Here is a 16,257-nt window from a genome sequence, read left to right as displayed (position 1 = left end):
GTTCTGCAATTGTGAAGTTTATTCATAATTTCTCCCATCCAAGTACTAACCAGGCCCGACTCTGCTTAGTTTCTGAGATCAGATGAGATCGGGCGTGTTCAGGGTAGTATGGCTGTAGACTTTGTCACAATTTCTATGCAGAGCATCTGTCTGTGCATGAATTCAGATGCTCTGTGAACATATCTGCTCACTGCCACATATGAGAATTTTCATGGAAGACAGGGTTTTTTCGTAAAAGCCTTGGCAGTCCCATCTCTTTCCAAAGAATGCCCCACAAATGCTGTGCCGGAGTGAAATTGTCACAACAGAGACATCAGCCTTGGTAGTGTGTCCAACTGTTTTGAGAAATCCCGTACCAAAGTAAGCCCACAACAAGCTACTGGTTTCGTCATGAGGAACCGTGTTTTTTTAATTTTTAATGTTTATTTATTTATTTATTTATTTATTTTTTGAGACGGAGTCTCTGTCGCCCAGACTGGAGTGCAGTGGCATGATCTTGGCTCACTGCAACCTCCGTCTCCTAGGTTCAAGCGATTCTCCTGCCTCAGCCTCCTGAGTAGCTGGGACTACAGGCATGTGCCACCACACCCGGCTAATTTTTTTTTTTTTTTTTTTTTAAGTAGAGACAGGGTTTCACCATGTTGATCAGGCTGGTCTCAAACACCTGACCTTGTGATCTGCCCACTTCGGCCTCCCAAAGTGTTGGGATTACAGGCATGAGCCACTGTTCCCTGCCAAGGAAGAGTGTTTTAAATGCTTGACAAGAGATTCATATGGGTTTTTGTCTTGTTGATACATTTTGGGACACCAAGACGGATGCATTGCTTGAGCCCAGGAGTTGGAGACCAGCCTGGGCAATATGGTGAAACCATGTCTCTACAAAAAATACAAAAATTAGCTGGGCATGGTGGAGTGTGCCTGTAGTCCCAGCTACTTGGGTGGCTGAGATGGGAGGATTGCTTGAGCCCAGAAGGTTGGGACTGCAATGAGCCATCATTGCCCCACTGTACTCCAAGCTGGGTGACAAAGCAAGACCCTCTCTCAAAAAAAAAAAGTATAATGGGAGTTTATGAGCAAGCAAGGATTTTGGAGTCAGAGATATCTGGATCTGAGTCCAGGCTCTACCACGTATTAGTTCTGAGATGCTGAACTTGACCTCTCTAAGTCTTAGTTTCCTTACCTGCACAGTGGCATAATAAAAATTACTTTGTGGCAAAAGACTGATGAAATATGAAGAAAATAATGTAGGCTGGGCGTGGTGGCTTACGCCTGTAATCCCAGCACTTTGGGAAGCTGAGGCAGGAGGATGGCTGGAGCCCAAGAGTTCAAGACCACCCTGGGCAATATAGTGAGACCCTGTCTCTAAAAAAATAAAAATAAAAATTAACCAGGTGTGGTGGCATGAGCCTGTAGTGAGCTGTGTTTTCACCACTGAACTCTAGGTGACATAGCGAGACTCTATCTCAAAAAATTAAAATATCTCTATCAATTACATGGTGAAATAATATTTTGATATATTGGGTCTATTTGGATATATTAAATAGTTACATATATTTAATATATAAATTAGTTTCCCCTGTTTCTTTTTACTATTTAGTTTTGAGACAGCATCTTACTCTGTTGTCCAGGCTGGAGTGCAGTGGCACAATCTTGGCTCACTGCAACCTCCACCTCGCGGGTTGAAGCAATTCTCTTGCCTCAGCCTCCTGAGTAGCTGGGGTCACAAACATCCACCACCACGTCTGACTAATTTTTTCTATTTTTAGTAGAGATGGGGTTTCACCATGTTGGCCAGGCTGGTCTTGAACTGCTGACCTCAGGTGATCCGCCTACCTTGGCCTCCCAAAGTGCTAGGATTATAGATGTGAGCCACCATTCCTGGCCTACTTTATTTACTTATTCGTTTATGTATGTATTTATTTGGAGACAGGGTGTCTCTCTGTTGCTCAGGCTGGAGTGCAGTGGCACAATCTTGGCTCACTGCAACTTTTGCCTTCTGAGTTCAAGTGATTCTCCCATCTCAGCCTCCCAAGTAGTTGGTATTGTAGGCATGAGCCACCACGCCCTGCTAATTTTTTTGTATTTTTAGTAGAGACTGGGTTTCACCATGCTGGCCAGGCTGGTCTTGAACTCCTGGCTTCAAGTGATGCGCCAGCCTCAGCCTCCCAAAGTGCTGGGGTTACAGGCATGAGCCACCGTGCCCAGCCCTTTTTACTATTTTTTTAAAGATGGGGTCTAGCTCTGTTGCCCAGGCTGGAGTGCAGTGGCGTGATCTCACTGCAACCTCTGCCTTCTGGGTTCAAGCAATTCTCCTGCCTCAGCCCCCCGAGTAGCTGGGGTTACAGGCATCTGCCATCATGCCCAGCTAATTTTTTTTGTATTCTTAGTAGAGATGGGGTTTCACCATGTCGGCCAGGTTGGTCTCAAACTCCTGACCTCAGGTGTCCCACCTGCCTCGGCCTCTCAAAGTGCTGGGATTACAGGCGTGAGCCACTGTACCCGGCCTACTTTTTAAATATGTCTATTAACTGACTTTAAACTACATATATGGCTCATATTTCTATTGAACAGTGCAACAGTCCCTTCCTCATACGATTTTATTGTAAACTCTGCCTGATACTGCTGCAAGGTAGGGCTCATGATACTTCTAATGTATACACATTATATATTTATTATCCTTTTTTTTTTTTTGAGACAGAGTCTCATTCTGTCTCCCAAGCTGGAGCGAAGTGGCATGATCACAGCTCACTGCAGCCTTGATCTCTTGAGCTCAAGCAATCCTCCCGCTTCAGCTTCCCAAGTAGCTGGGACTATAGGCATGCACCACCATGCCCAGCTGATTTTTTTTGTTTTTTTTAAAGTTGAGGCGAGGTCTTGCTATGTTGCCCAGGCTGGTCTCAAACCCCTGAGCTCAAGTAATCCACCCACCTTGGCCTCCCAAAATGCTGCGATTATAGGCATGAGCCACTGTGCCCAGCCTATTATTTAATATATTTCCTCCTCCTATGCAGTGGCTTTCTCTGTCTCTCTCTCTGTCTGTCTGTCTGTCTGTCTGTCTGTCTCTCTTTTTAAAGAGAAAGAGAATCTTCTTGTGTTGTCCAGCCTGGTCTTAAAGTCCTGGGCTCAAGTGATCCTTCTGCCTTGGGCTCCTTAGTAGCTGGGCCTAACAGGCACATGCCACCATGCCCAAATAGCTTTCTGGTCTCGAACCCAAATATACTTCTTTCCCATTACTGAACTGCCTAAGCATGGTGGAATCATGAATGGTATAAGATAAACTGCAGCTCTCCCTGGTGAAAATGGGCACAATTTGGGAGAGAGGCACAGTCTGAGACACCTGTGAAATGTGTTGATTTTCTGCAGCTACCTTTGGAATGCAGTCCTCAAGAGCTGTCTAATATCTGTCCTATCCAAGTCAAAGGAACTGATAGAATACAGGGAGATGTTACTCTGCCCACCAAGAGGACCTCGACCTAATTCTGCCAAAGTTCTTATTGTTTCATGAAACTGCTAACATGAAGCTGAGAACTACCATGTAAATACAAACAGGGTGTCAGGATTGGGACATGCCTTGACCTGATAGGTTTTGAGGATAATGTAAATATTTTCATTATGATATGATCAAATCAGATTAGAGTTGGTTAACAGGTAGCACTAGGCTATATACTTTTGAACAGACTCCTTTTGTATTACTGCTAAAGATTCTTTTTTTTTTTCTTTTTTGAGACGGAGTTTCGCTCTTGGGTGTCCAGGCTGGAGTGCAATGGTACAGTCTTGGCTTACTGCAGCCTCCACCTCCTGGTTTCAAGCGATTCTCCTGCCTCAGCCTCCTGAGTAGCTGGGATTACAGGAGCCCACCCCGACGCCCGGCTAATTTTTGAATTTTTAGTAGAGACGGGGTTTCATCATGTTGGCCAGGCTGGTCTTGGACTCCTGACCTCAGGTGATCCTCCCGCCTTGGCCTCCCAAAGTGCTGGGATTACAGGTGTGAGCCACAGCGCCCGGCCAAGATTCTTAATTTTAATGATTAGTAGACTAATTTACACACAATGGTAATTTTTAAAAAGTCATGTGATCTGCAGGCACATTAACATCTGAGCCTGTGGCCCACAAATAAACCTGAGATCACCTGGCTTGCAAGATACCTTTAGGTCTATGGGCAGAAGGTGCTCTGAATTAGTAATTTAGTGCAAGAGTACTTGAGCTTGCTTTCTGCATTTGTAGACACATGCTTAAAACATCAGAGTGGTTAGAACCCTTAGAAGCCATCTCTTGCTTTGTATGTGAAGACCTTGAGCATGAATGGGCCAATGTCAGGCCGGGTGTGGTGGCTCACGCCTGTAATTCCACCACTCTGAGTTGGGTGGATTGCTTGAGGCCAGGAGTTCGAGACTAGCCTGGTTAACATGGCAGAATCCCATCTCTGCTAAAAATACAAAAATTAGCCAGGTGTGGTGGCATGTGCCTGTAATCCTGGCTTCTTGGGAGGCTGAGGCACGAGAATTACTTGAACCCAGGAGGCGGAGGTTGTAGTGAGCTGAGATCGCACCACTGCACCAGCCTGTGCGACAGAGTGAGACTCTGTCTCCAAGAAAATAAAGAATAGGCCAATGTCAATGACAACTCTTAAGTGTGTGTGTGTGTGTGTATGTATGCGTGTATACATACATATATTTGTGTGTGTGTGTGTGTGTATATGTATTGCTTGAATTGAATTGCTTGAACCCGAGAGGCGGTTTCAGTGAGCTGAGATCGCGCCACTGCACTCCAGCCTGGGCAACAAGAGCAAAACTCCAACTAAAAACAAAAAGTGTAGGCCCTGCACGGTGGCTCATACCTGTAATCCCGGCGCTTTGGGAGGCTGAGGCTGGCGCATCACTTGAAGCCAGGAGTTCAAGACCAGCCTGGCCAGCATGGTGAAACCCAGTCTCTACTAAAAATACGAAAAAATTAACTGGGCATGGTGGCAGGCACCTGTCATCCCAGCTACTCCAGAGGCTGAGGGAGGAGAATCGCTTGAACCTGGGAGGGAGAGGCTGCAGTGAGCCGAGACCGTGCCACTGCACTCCAGCCTGGGCAACAGGGTGAAACTCTCTCTCAAAAAAAAATGTAAATTCAGTTATCTTTAGTATAGTCACAAGATTAAAAAAAATTTTTTTTAATAGGGACAGCATCTCATTATGTTGCCCAGGCTGGTCTCAAACTCCTGTGCTCAAGCAGTCTTCATGCCTCAGCCTCCCAAAGTGCTGGGATTTCAGGCTTAAGCCACCACACCCAGCCTAGTCACAAGATTTTATAATTATCCCACTATCTAGAGATGGGGCCTAGAGATGAACATTTCTGTCATCACCCAAAGAGGCCTCGTACCATTTAATAGTCACTTCTCATCCCTTCTTTCTCTGTGGATTTGCCCATTCTGGACATTTCATATACATGGAATAATACGTGGGGTTTTGTCCGTTTTCTTTCACTTAGCATAATGTTCTCGAGGTCCACACGTTGTAGTACATGTCAGCACTTCATTTCTTTTTATGGCTGAATAATATTCCATTGTATAGATATACCAGATTTTATTTATTCATTAATCTGTTGGTGGCCATTTAGGTCGTTTCCACTTTTTGTCTATTATGAATCATGCTGATATAAACATACGTACAGGTTTTGACATGAACATATGTTTTCAGTTCTCTTGGGGATAGACCAAAGAGTGGAATTGCTGGGTCATATGGTAACTTTCTGTTTAATCATTTGGTGAACTAAGAAACAGTTTTCCAAGTCAGTTGTATCATTTTACACTCCCAGCAGCAGTGCGTGAGGTTTCCTTTATATCCTCCTCAATACTTACTATCTGACTTTTTGTCTTATAGCCATTCTAGTGGGTATGAAGTGGTACCTAATTGTGCTTTTGAGTTGAATTTGAGGTTGAGCACCTTTTTTAGTGCTTATTGGCTATTTGTAGATCTTGCGAGAAATTCAAATTCTTCCTGTTCAAATCCTTAGTCTATTTTTAAAAATTGAATTGTTTGTCTTTTTATTTGGTGCATTGTAAGCTATTAAGCATACTAAGGTAAATCTAATTTAGGGAAAGCATTCACTATTTCAGGAAGACCAGAGAGTTGCAGTTTGGCTTTATTATTATTATTATTATTATTATTATTATTATTATTATTGAGACGGAGTTTCACTCTTGTTGCCCAGGCTGGAGTGCAATGGTGAGATCTTGGCTCACTGCAACCTCCGCCTCCTGGTTTCAAGCGATTCTTCTGCCTCAGCCTCCCGAGTAGCTGGGATTATAGGCATGCACCACCATGCCCAGCTAATTTTGTATTTTTAGTAGAGACGGGGTTTCTCCATGTTGGTCAGGCTGGTCTCAAACTCCTGACCTCAGGTGATCCGCCCACCTCGGCCTCCCAAAGTGCTGCGATTATAGGCGTGAGCCACTGTGCCCAGTCTATTTTTAATCCTTTTCAGGCACTTATAAAGTTTTCGAAAAGAACGCTTGTTCACAGAATAATTATAAACAAGGACCTACCACCATCACTAATAAAGGTTATTAATCCAATCCCAAGAACCAAGAAAGAGGATCTAGGCCGGGCACGGTGGGTCATGCCTGTAATCCCAGCACTTTGAGAGGCTGAGGTGGGTGGATCACCTGAGGTCAGGAGTTCGAGACCAACCTGGCCAACATGGTGAAAACCCGTCTCCACTAAAAATACTAAAATCAGCGTGGCGTGGTGGTGCATGCCTGTAATCTCAGCTACTCCGGAAGCTGAGGCGGAAGAATCACTTGAACCCGGGAGGCAAATGTTGCAGTGAGCTGAGATTGCGCCACTGTACTCCAACCTGGGCGACAAGAGTGAAACTCTGCCAAAAAAAAAAAAAAAGAAAAGAATGGGGTCCAAATGAACTCTCTTGAAAGTCCTTGCTTCCATTCATGGCAGCACCTCCCTAGACCTCTCATTGCTGTGCCCAAGTGAGTGACCAAAGCAATCTGCTCTGAAAAGAAAGCAGCTTCTTAGGGTATGGCAAGTCACATCTTTTTGTCAAAACCACCAAGAGGAGAGAGTGATATAGGAAGTGTGGTGACTTGAAGGAAATGACTGGCCCCAGGGTCTAATGTTTTTTTAGAAGTTGGTTCAAGGAGGGTGGATCACTTGAGGTCAGGAGTTTGGGACCAACATGGTGAAACCTTGTCTCTACCAAAAGTACAAAAAATTAGCCGGGCATGGTGACTCATGCCTGTAATCCCAGCCACTTGGAAGCCTGAGGCAGGAGAATCACTTGAATCCAGTAAGCGGAGGTTGCAGTGAGCTGAGATTTCGCCACTGCACTCCAGGCTGGGCAACGGGGCAAGACTCTGTCTCAAAAAAAAAAAAAAAAGTTGGTTCCCAGTGTTACAGCTCTTAGAATTTGTCTAGCAGGCTTTCTGGTTTTTGCCAGAAAGCCCCAAAAAAGTTAAACAAAAAAGTCAGTTCCCCAAGTGAGGGCTGACAATGAGTCTGCTCATGGACAGAGCCATCAGGCCCTGGCTGATGCCAGGGCAGAGAGGGGCTGTCAGCAATGGCTCTTGGTGGAAGGAGTACTGCTGATTTCCTTTCTGGCTCCTAGGACATGTGTTCACTGCCTCTTACCTTAAGTATGGGCCAACTGGTACATGAACACTCAATAATTGCTTGCTAGTTAAATAAGTCCTTTTATTCAATTTAATCACTTCCCTAGGAGGGCCATTTGGTGCCTTAAATGCTGTTTGCATGGACTCTCCCACTCCCATACCCCCCACCAACACACATACGGGGCCTGGAGGCCAAGGCCATTCTTGGCATGTTGCTATCAACTGTGAACTCACAGAATAGAGGAATGACACAGCTGTTCACATGAAGTCAGGTCTCCCACATTCATTTTATTCAACAAACTCTGAGATTACTTCTGAGCCTGGTACTGCCAGGCATAGTCCTTTCCATCAAAGCACTCACTATAGGTCTAGTGAGGCAGACAGACAACTAAATGACCACATACTCTCCAATGCAGTATTATGTAGGGCTGGGAACAACGAACTCTACCTGGGGATATCAAAGAAGGCTTCACTGATGAGGTGATACTTGGCTCAGGGGTCATGTAACTCAGCATCATGATGGGTTCTTATCAGGGACATTTGCTAGTGGGGAAAGGAAGAAAAAAGGAAACTTCAGGACACACCCAGTCCCCTGTTGGGGTAACTATGGGATGGACGCCTATGTCTCCTCCCTGGCCTGACTTCAGCTTAGTCTTTTTGCCTATGCTGTCGAGCAAAGAAAAGGTAGAATCAAGGTCAACCCTCCTTAGTACAGCAAGAGGAAAAAGCAACCAATCTCCACATTTTCTTGCCTTTGTTTTGTTTATCAAGGGAAATCTTGTTCTCATTTTTATGGCAAATGTTTATGACTTTGAACCAGGAACTTGCCTGCCTTGTATTTCTCTTGCACTGCTTTATCCTGTTTCCTGAGTTGCTAGTTTTGAGATTGTGTAAGCGTTGTTAGAGGATTTCCAGCAACATCAAAGGGCAGAGACACTGCCTCCCCTGAACCCTGGGGCAGCTATGGAAATCTCTCTTGCCCTCTTTGCTAGTAGTTGCTTTTCCCAGGGAAAGGGCAGCTCTCAACACCCAAATCTCAACAGGCTGGATTTTCCTCTTGCCTGGCAGTATGAAAAAGGTGTCTTGGCTCCACATTAGAAACTTCTTCGTTTCAAACAATAGCAAGCAGCTCTGCCTGACTCATTCAAAAAAGGAATGTATTGGGAGGAGACCTAGTGGTTCACAGAATTGACTAGAAGGCTGGAGAACCAGGCTGTGAAAATAAACAAGAACAAAGGAGGCTGCGCAGCAAGAGCAGGGGACAGGCCGGGATTGCTACTGTCCTTGCGCCTCCTGACTCGTGATCATTTCTCACCTGTCCCAGTGTCTCTCTTTTACTCACGTAAGAGTCCCAGCTTCTGGAAGAAGCATCAAATTGATTAAGTCCAGGTCTCAGGCCTGTACAGTGACTGGGCTGGCTTTCAAAGCAGGAGGGGGAGTTCTGTCTCCCCAAGACTTACACAATATGAACAAAGTGTTTACAGCCCTGTTTGCCGGAATGGTGAGTGAAGCTTAGGAGAGAAACTACCAGCAGCATGAGCAACACCTATGGGAGACCCCAGGTGGATAAACCAGTCCTTAGAGAGAAAATTGGGACTGGGGTTTAGTTGAGATTGTATTTCTCAGGAGAAACTCAAGTGAGGAATAATGATAACTAACATCACTTATTGGTGGCCCACTGTGAGCCTGGCACTACTCTATGTGATCAAATCTCCTTTAATCTTTATCTGGCAGGTATGTAGTATCCTTGTTTTACACATGAGGAAATGGAGGCTCAGGAAGGTGGGGACATCTCCAGGTTCATAGAGCTACTGGTATTCAAACTGAAGTCACCATACTTTGAAACTCACACTCTTTCCTACTTCACTGATTTTCTATCTCTGGGATACACCAAATTGAAGAACACCTTTCTCTCCCTGTTTCATTTTGAGAAATCAAGGGTGGGCAATGAGCCTGTCTATAAATCTGTCTCTGCCACTCCTAGGCAGTTGCTGTCAGTTGCCCTTTGCCCCATAATTCATTTGGTGTCATCCAGTTAAGAGACACATTCCCCTTTCATCTTGCTAGGTGATTTGCTAGGAAAGTCAAAAGTAACTTGCTATGTTGTTTTTTGTTTTGTCTTTTACTTTTCTTGCTGCTTCCCTTGAAGTAGAAAAAGCTGCTAACTAGGACCTAAGGACCCTGCCAGGGGTAAATGTGACCACAAACACAGTGCCCAGACTGTGATGAATGCTGGGCATACCCCCGGGTTTTAGAACAAAGTGTCCTCTATGTGAGTAACTGACGAGATACACCACAGTTAAAATCAGGAAAGTTTTCTAGGTGAATGTTTAGGGCATGCATTCTCAGTCTCCTGAGCCACCAGCCAAAATTCATCCACATGCACATAGCATGCTGTGACCTAATTCTGTACCAAGTCCATCACGCAGCTTCTGTGTGCAGCCTGGGGTCCAGAGCTCACAAATTGGATTTTTCTTCCATTGAATATTCTGGGTGACTCCTCAGCAAGCAGAAATCTGGGAGGTTTAGCTCAAACAGAATGACAGTTTTAGGAGAGGGGCTTTTTAGAGACTATCTCATCCCATTTTATGATCTGGACACAAGAGAGACAGTCTGGCCATTCCTGGGCCTGAGGAGGCTGTTGCCTTCTCTAAGCAATGCTTTTGGGGCCGAGTTCAGAGCCTGAGATAGTTTCTTTTCTTGAAAACCAAAATGAACCTTAGGGGACCAGAAGAGCAAAGTGGAAAAGCTTATTTGCCCACACCTATCTGTCCGGGGCCCACTGAAGTTGGCAGAGAAGAAGAAGCCTGTATCCATCTTTTTCATGAATCCTCTTTTGTCCAAGGATGTGTGAGTAACATCTGAATGAAGACCACAAGGATGGAATGGTTTCAGGCCTGGGGCTGGGGGCCAGGCTGGAGTAGAAAAGTTAAGTCATTCTGACCAAAGCAAACAGAGGCTGGGTGTCACCCAATGTCTGCAGGGAAAAGGTGACATATGTGTACTTAATGGGGATGTGACAGCCCAGCACTCCTTTCCAGGAAGTGCTGATCTGAAAGGGAATCTGGTTCAATCTCTGGAACAGTCAGCCCTCACCCAGCCTCACCAAGAGGCCCTGCCTGTCAGGTGTCCCCACCGGCGAAGGCAATCTTCATTCTCCCTGCACTTCCTTCTTGTGCACTTTCTACTTTCCTATAAAGCCCTATCTTTAGACAACTGTGGTGAATTCAGTGCATAATCGGAAAGCAAACAAACTTACCCCAGAAGAACATTTACAGTTTAGGTAGACATTTGTGTATAAGCAATAATTCACGCTTTGTTGAATTTCTAAAAATAAACAACATGATTTTGTTGAAAGGTTTCTGACCTCTAATATACTTTAACCAGTACATTACCATCTCTGAATTATTGAGACAGCTATGTAGCCCAGCTATGTAGCTGCTGCCTAAAAGAAAGATATCTGGGCTGGGTGTGGGGGCTCACACCTGTAATCCTAGCACTTTGGGAGGCCGAGGCCGGCGGATCACGAGGTCAGGAGATTTGAGACCGTCCTGGCTAACATGGTGAAACCCCATCTCTACTAAAAATACAAAAAATAAGCCGGGCGTGGTGGCAGGCGCCTGTAGTCCCAGGAGAATGGCGTGGACCCGGGAGGCGGAGCTTGCAGTGAGCCAAGATTGCGCCACTGCACTCCAGCCTGGGCGACAGAGCAAGACTCCATCTCAAAAAAAAAAAAAACAAAACCACATCTGTTGCTTCACCTATGAACTACAGATCCACTGTTAAACCACACACAAAATCAAAGGACACAAACTTGGAAAAATATTTGCCACACATAGGAAAAAGTGTTAATCACCTTAATATATAAAGAGGTTTTTTTTTGTTTTGTTTTTTTGAGACAGGGTCTCACTCTGTCACTCAGGATGGAATGCAGTGGCACAATCATGTCTAACTGCAGCCTCAACCTCCTGGGCTCAGGTGATCCTCCCGCCTCAGCTCCCTGGAGTAGCTGGAACTACATGCATGTGCTACCATGGCCAACTAATGTTTGAATCTTTTGTAGAGACAGGCTGGTCTCCAACTCCTGGGCTCAAGCAATCTGCCCACCTCAGCCTCCCAAAATGCTACTAGGATTATAGGCATGAGCCACTGTGCCCAGCCCTAAAGAGGTCTTACAAATCAATGAGACCAATAATCTAATAGAAAAATGAGCAAAGAAAATTGACAGATCCCAGATCACATACAAATGGCTTTAAAATACACAAAATGGTGTGTAGTCTAATTTATAATATATGCAATATAAATTAAGACAGATATTATTTTTACCTTTCAGATTTCAGAGATCCAAAAGTTTGATAATGCACTAGGCATGGTGGCATGTGCCTGCAGGGGCAGGCTGCTTGCAGGGGACAGGCCCAGGAGCTGTTGGCCACAGCACTCATTCTGCAGAAGGGAAACTTGAGGCCCCAGAGGGCAGGGGTTGGTCCCACAGAGACTGGTGGGCAAAGGGGATCACCCCAAGTCTCAATGGCACTGGGAACACTTACACACTCTGACCTGGACTAAGGCTGCCAGGATGGTCCATGGCACTTTAAAAGCTAAAAAGGCCAAGCACAGTGGTGTGCACCTGTAGTCCCAGCTACTGGGGAGGCGGAGGCAGGAGGATTACTTGAGCCTGGGAGTTCAAATCCAGCCTGGGCAACACAGCAAGACCCCGTCTAAAAAAAGGTTGATAATGCACTGTGTTAGTGAGTGTATTAATGCAATCCCACACTGCTGTAAATAAATACCTGAGACTAGGTAATTAACAAAGAAAAGAGGTTTAATTGGCTCACGGTTCTGCAGGCTGTACAGGAAATGCAGATTCTCACTTCTGAGGAGGCCTCAGGAAACTTACAATCATGGTGGAAGGCAAAGGGGAAGCAGGTACCCTTTACATGGCCAGAGCAGAAGCAAGAGAGGGGGAGGGGTGGGTGCCACATACTTTTAAATGACCAGATCTCATGAGAACTCACTCACTATCATGACCAACAGGGATAGTGCTAAACCATTCATGATGAAACTGCCCCCATGATCCAATTGCCTCCCACTAGGACCCACCTCCAATATTGAGGATTACAACTGAACATGAGATTTGGGTGGGGACACAGATCTAAACCATCTCAGTGTGCTTGTATACATTTTTTATGGGACTGTAAATTGGTATAGCCTCTTTGTAAGTGTGATTTGACAATATCAATCAAAATAGAAAATTCATGTACCCTGTTACAGTTGTCTATTACCATGTAACAAACTACCCCCAAACTTAGTAGTTTGCACTTTTATAATTATTGTGCTCATGTTTTTGAGGGTCAGAAATTCAGGAAGAGCTAGGCTGCGGAATTCTTCTCTGATCAGTATGGTGTCAGCGGGGGTGGCTGACACTGCAGGATTCGCTTCCAAGATGGCCTGGTTACTTGCCTGTGCAATGCCTAAGTGCTCCTTGGCCTCTCTTTTCCCTCTCCACATGCTATCTCATACTCCTGGGCTTCTCCATATAGCTTGTATTTCTCATAGCTTAGTGGTCTCAGAGTAGTAGCACTACCAAGAGGCAAGAAGTGGAAGCTACCAGGCCAGTTAAAGGCTATGTCCAGAACTAGCCCAACATACCTTCTGCTACATTCTGTTGGTCAAAACAGTTACTGTCACCCCTAAGCTCATTATCCAAGGGGATGGAGAAATAGACCTCACCTCTTCTGGGTAGAGTAGTGGCAAAGTCACATTGTAGAAAAGCTTGGGAGGTGGAAAATTTTTTCATGATTGTCTTTGTAAAGTACAATCTACTACCTACACTTTAACCCACCAATTCATCTTTTAGAAATTTATCCTGTAAGTGGACTTACAAATGTGAACAAAAATAAATGAACAAGGGTATTTGTTACTAAAATAGTAATAGCAAAAGACTGGATTAATCTAAATGTCCAATAATAGGGTTATTTAACCCAATTTATTTGTGCCCATGCAATGCATAGCTATGTGCCTGTCTTAAAAAACAAACAAACAAACAAGAAAACCTATGTACTTACTTTGAATAAACTCTAAGATATACTTTCAAATGAAAAAAATAAAGGTGAAGGCTGGGCACGGCGGCTCATGCCTGTAATCCCAGCACTTTGGGAGGCCGAGGTAGGTGGATCACCTGAGGTCGGGGGTTCAGACCAGCCTGGGCAACACGGTGAAACCCCATCTCTACTAAAAATACAAAAATTAGCCAGATGTGGTGGCACACCCCTGTAATTCCAGCTACTTGGAAGGCTGAGACGTGAGACTCACTTGATCCCAGGAGGCGGAAGTTGCAGTGAGCTGAGATCACCCCACTGCACTCCAGCCTGGGTGACAGAGTGAGACTCTTACTCAAAAAAAAAAAAAATTTTGTTTTGGTAGAGACTGGGTCTCACTGCATTGCTCAGTCTGGTCTCGAATTCCTGGCCTCAAGTGATCTTCCCACCTCAGCTTCCCAAAGTGCTTGGATTACAGGTGTGAGCCACTACACCTAGCTCCATCTCTATTGAAAAAAAAAAAAGTACTTACAGAAAGAAATGTTTTTATAAGTCCTTTACAATAAACCCCTGGAAATCATATATGAAACTAAGCCCTCATATGTGTTGGACTGTTGGGGACACACAGAGATGGGGAAGTCCTGTTTGGAGTCTCACTGCTGCTACTGTCTCATCTTTCCCGCTCGCTTGCGAGTTCTGCTCAATCTGAAGTCCAAATCCTGCTCTCCTAGGAAGGCTGCATTGATATCCACAACATACAGTTCTTTACACTGCTCATGTTTACATGACAGCATGGCCTTTGGAACCAGACATTAGGGGGTTAAGTATTGCCTCTACTGCTTATTAGCTACCTGACCTTGACAAAATAATGTCTCTAAGTCCCAGCTTTCTCACTTGTAAAATGGGGTTATACTGATACCTACTTCTGAGGAGTAAGAGGGCTAAAAAGATACATAGAGCACTTAGCACAGTGCTTGGCACTAAAGAAGTGGTCTTTAGTATTCCACTCATAGTCACATCACATTAACCATATCCAACAAAGAGAGTGGGCATCAAAGCAAGAAACCACAGGGACTTGTGAGGTGGGCAGTTGCTTTGCTTTGGTGTCATCAGTTCAGATTACAAGTGCCAAACTATGTGGAGTGGAGGCCCACCACCTCCCCACCTATCAGCTCCTTGATATAGGGCCTGGCCAGGAACAGCAAGGTCTGTGGCTCTAATCCCAGCTAAACACAGCCATCTAAGGGTCTCTTCAAAAGAACTCCCCCAGGCCTGAGAAAGTATTGAGATACTGAAGGGTGCAGACACCTCTCTTTATGTATTGGAAGCATATGTGCATGTTTCCACCCTCTCCATGCACACTCACCCCCCAACCACCATCACTAAGGGAGACTCCAGCTTTGTGGCAGTTTCTTCCCCCTTCTCTTCTCCAAGATTCTCTGTGCTTTTGTAATAATGAGATAGGAAGTATCAGTGCCCCCTAGCCAAAGACCACCACGAGCACACCTGTAGTTGAACAAGTTGGGTTCATTGCTTGTTGAAGTGAGAGAGGACACGTAGCATGGGAAACCACGTGGCATCTCAGGAAGAGAGCATTGGAAAGGACTTAGAGGATCTGGGTTTGGGTTAGTGCTTTTCAAGAGGGTTAAAGAAGCAGAACTTTCCTTTGTGCTGGATGCTGTCAAGAAGCAAGAGTAATTCTATGATTGGGTATATTAATAAATCTTATCTAGAAAGAGGAATGATTAGAGTGAGGCTAAAGCTGCAATTGGTAAAGAAGCAGCAGGTACTCACATTAGCTAGGACAGCAGGCACTCATTAGCTAGGTCATTTTTGTGACTTGGACAATGTTCATGCTTTTGTATGTGTTAGACATGATTAGAGTGCTGTTGTTTTTGTCTTGATCCATCATTGTTAAAGAACGGCCCTGTCTCACATTGATGCCCTGTGAAATGGCTTATGTCCAATGGGACAACAGTAAGGCCTTGCTGTGAATGTCAGGTCAAATTCTGGCAACACCAAGGTCCAGCTGGGCCTTTCAGATGTTAGGGGTTACTTTTCTCTTTCTCAGAACAGAAGAGGTTAAGAGAGACGTGGGTAGGTGGGATTTCAGTTTTCTGGGGACTTAGGCAGAGAGTTGCTTAGTGTGTGCAAGAGGTGAGCGGTAGGTGGGTGGAGTGGGTTAATAAGAATCGCTCTGGACTGCATCCTCATGGTCCCTAGCAGAGAGTTGCTTAGTGTGTGCAAGAGGTGAGTGGTAGGTGGGTGGAGTGGGTTAATAAGAATCGCTCTGGACTGCGTCCTCATGGTCCCTAGCAGAGAGGTGCTGTAGTGTGTGCAAGAGGTGAGTGGTAGGTGGGTGGAGTGGGTTAATAGAATTGTTCTGGACACTGTGTCCCCATAGTTTTCAAGAAATATAAGTAAAAAACATAACCATTTTTTTTTTTTTTGAGACAGAATCTCACTCTGTTGCCCAGGCTGGAATGAAGTAGCGTGATCTCGGCAGACTGCAGCCTATGCCTCCTCGGTTCAAGCGATTCTTGTGCCTAGGCCTTCCAAGTAGCTGGGACTACAGGTGCGTGCCACCACGTCCAGCTATTTTTTTTT

General features: G+C 45.1%; 1 non-coding gene and 2 pseudogenes across 1 annotated transcript; 2 read left to right on the top strand and 1 right to left on the bottom strand.

Annotated features, from left to right (window-relative positions):
- Positions 1 to 120, bottom strand: RNA5SP192 (RNA, 5S ribosomal pseudogene 192; annotated as a pseudogene).
- On the top strand, positions 7,290 to 7,548 carry RNU7-15P (RNA, U7 small nuclear 15 pseudogene; annotated as a pseudogene).
- On the top strand, positions 7,390 to 7,449 carry LOC124901190 (U7 small nuclear RNA). Its single transcript, XR_007059142.1, has one exon. It is a non-coding gene; the product is annotated as a U7 small nuclear RNA (small nuclear RNA).

This window comes from Homo sapiens, chromosome 5, assembly GCF_000001405.40.
Source record: "Homo sapiens chromosome 5, GRCh38.p14 Primary Assembly".
Lineage (NCBI taxonomy): Eukaryota > Metazoa > Chordata > Mammalia > Primates > Hominidae > Homo > Homo sapiens.
The sequence above is the reverse complement of the archived record's forward strand: the minus strand, read 5'-3'. Positions and strand labels throughout refer to the sequence as shown.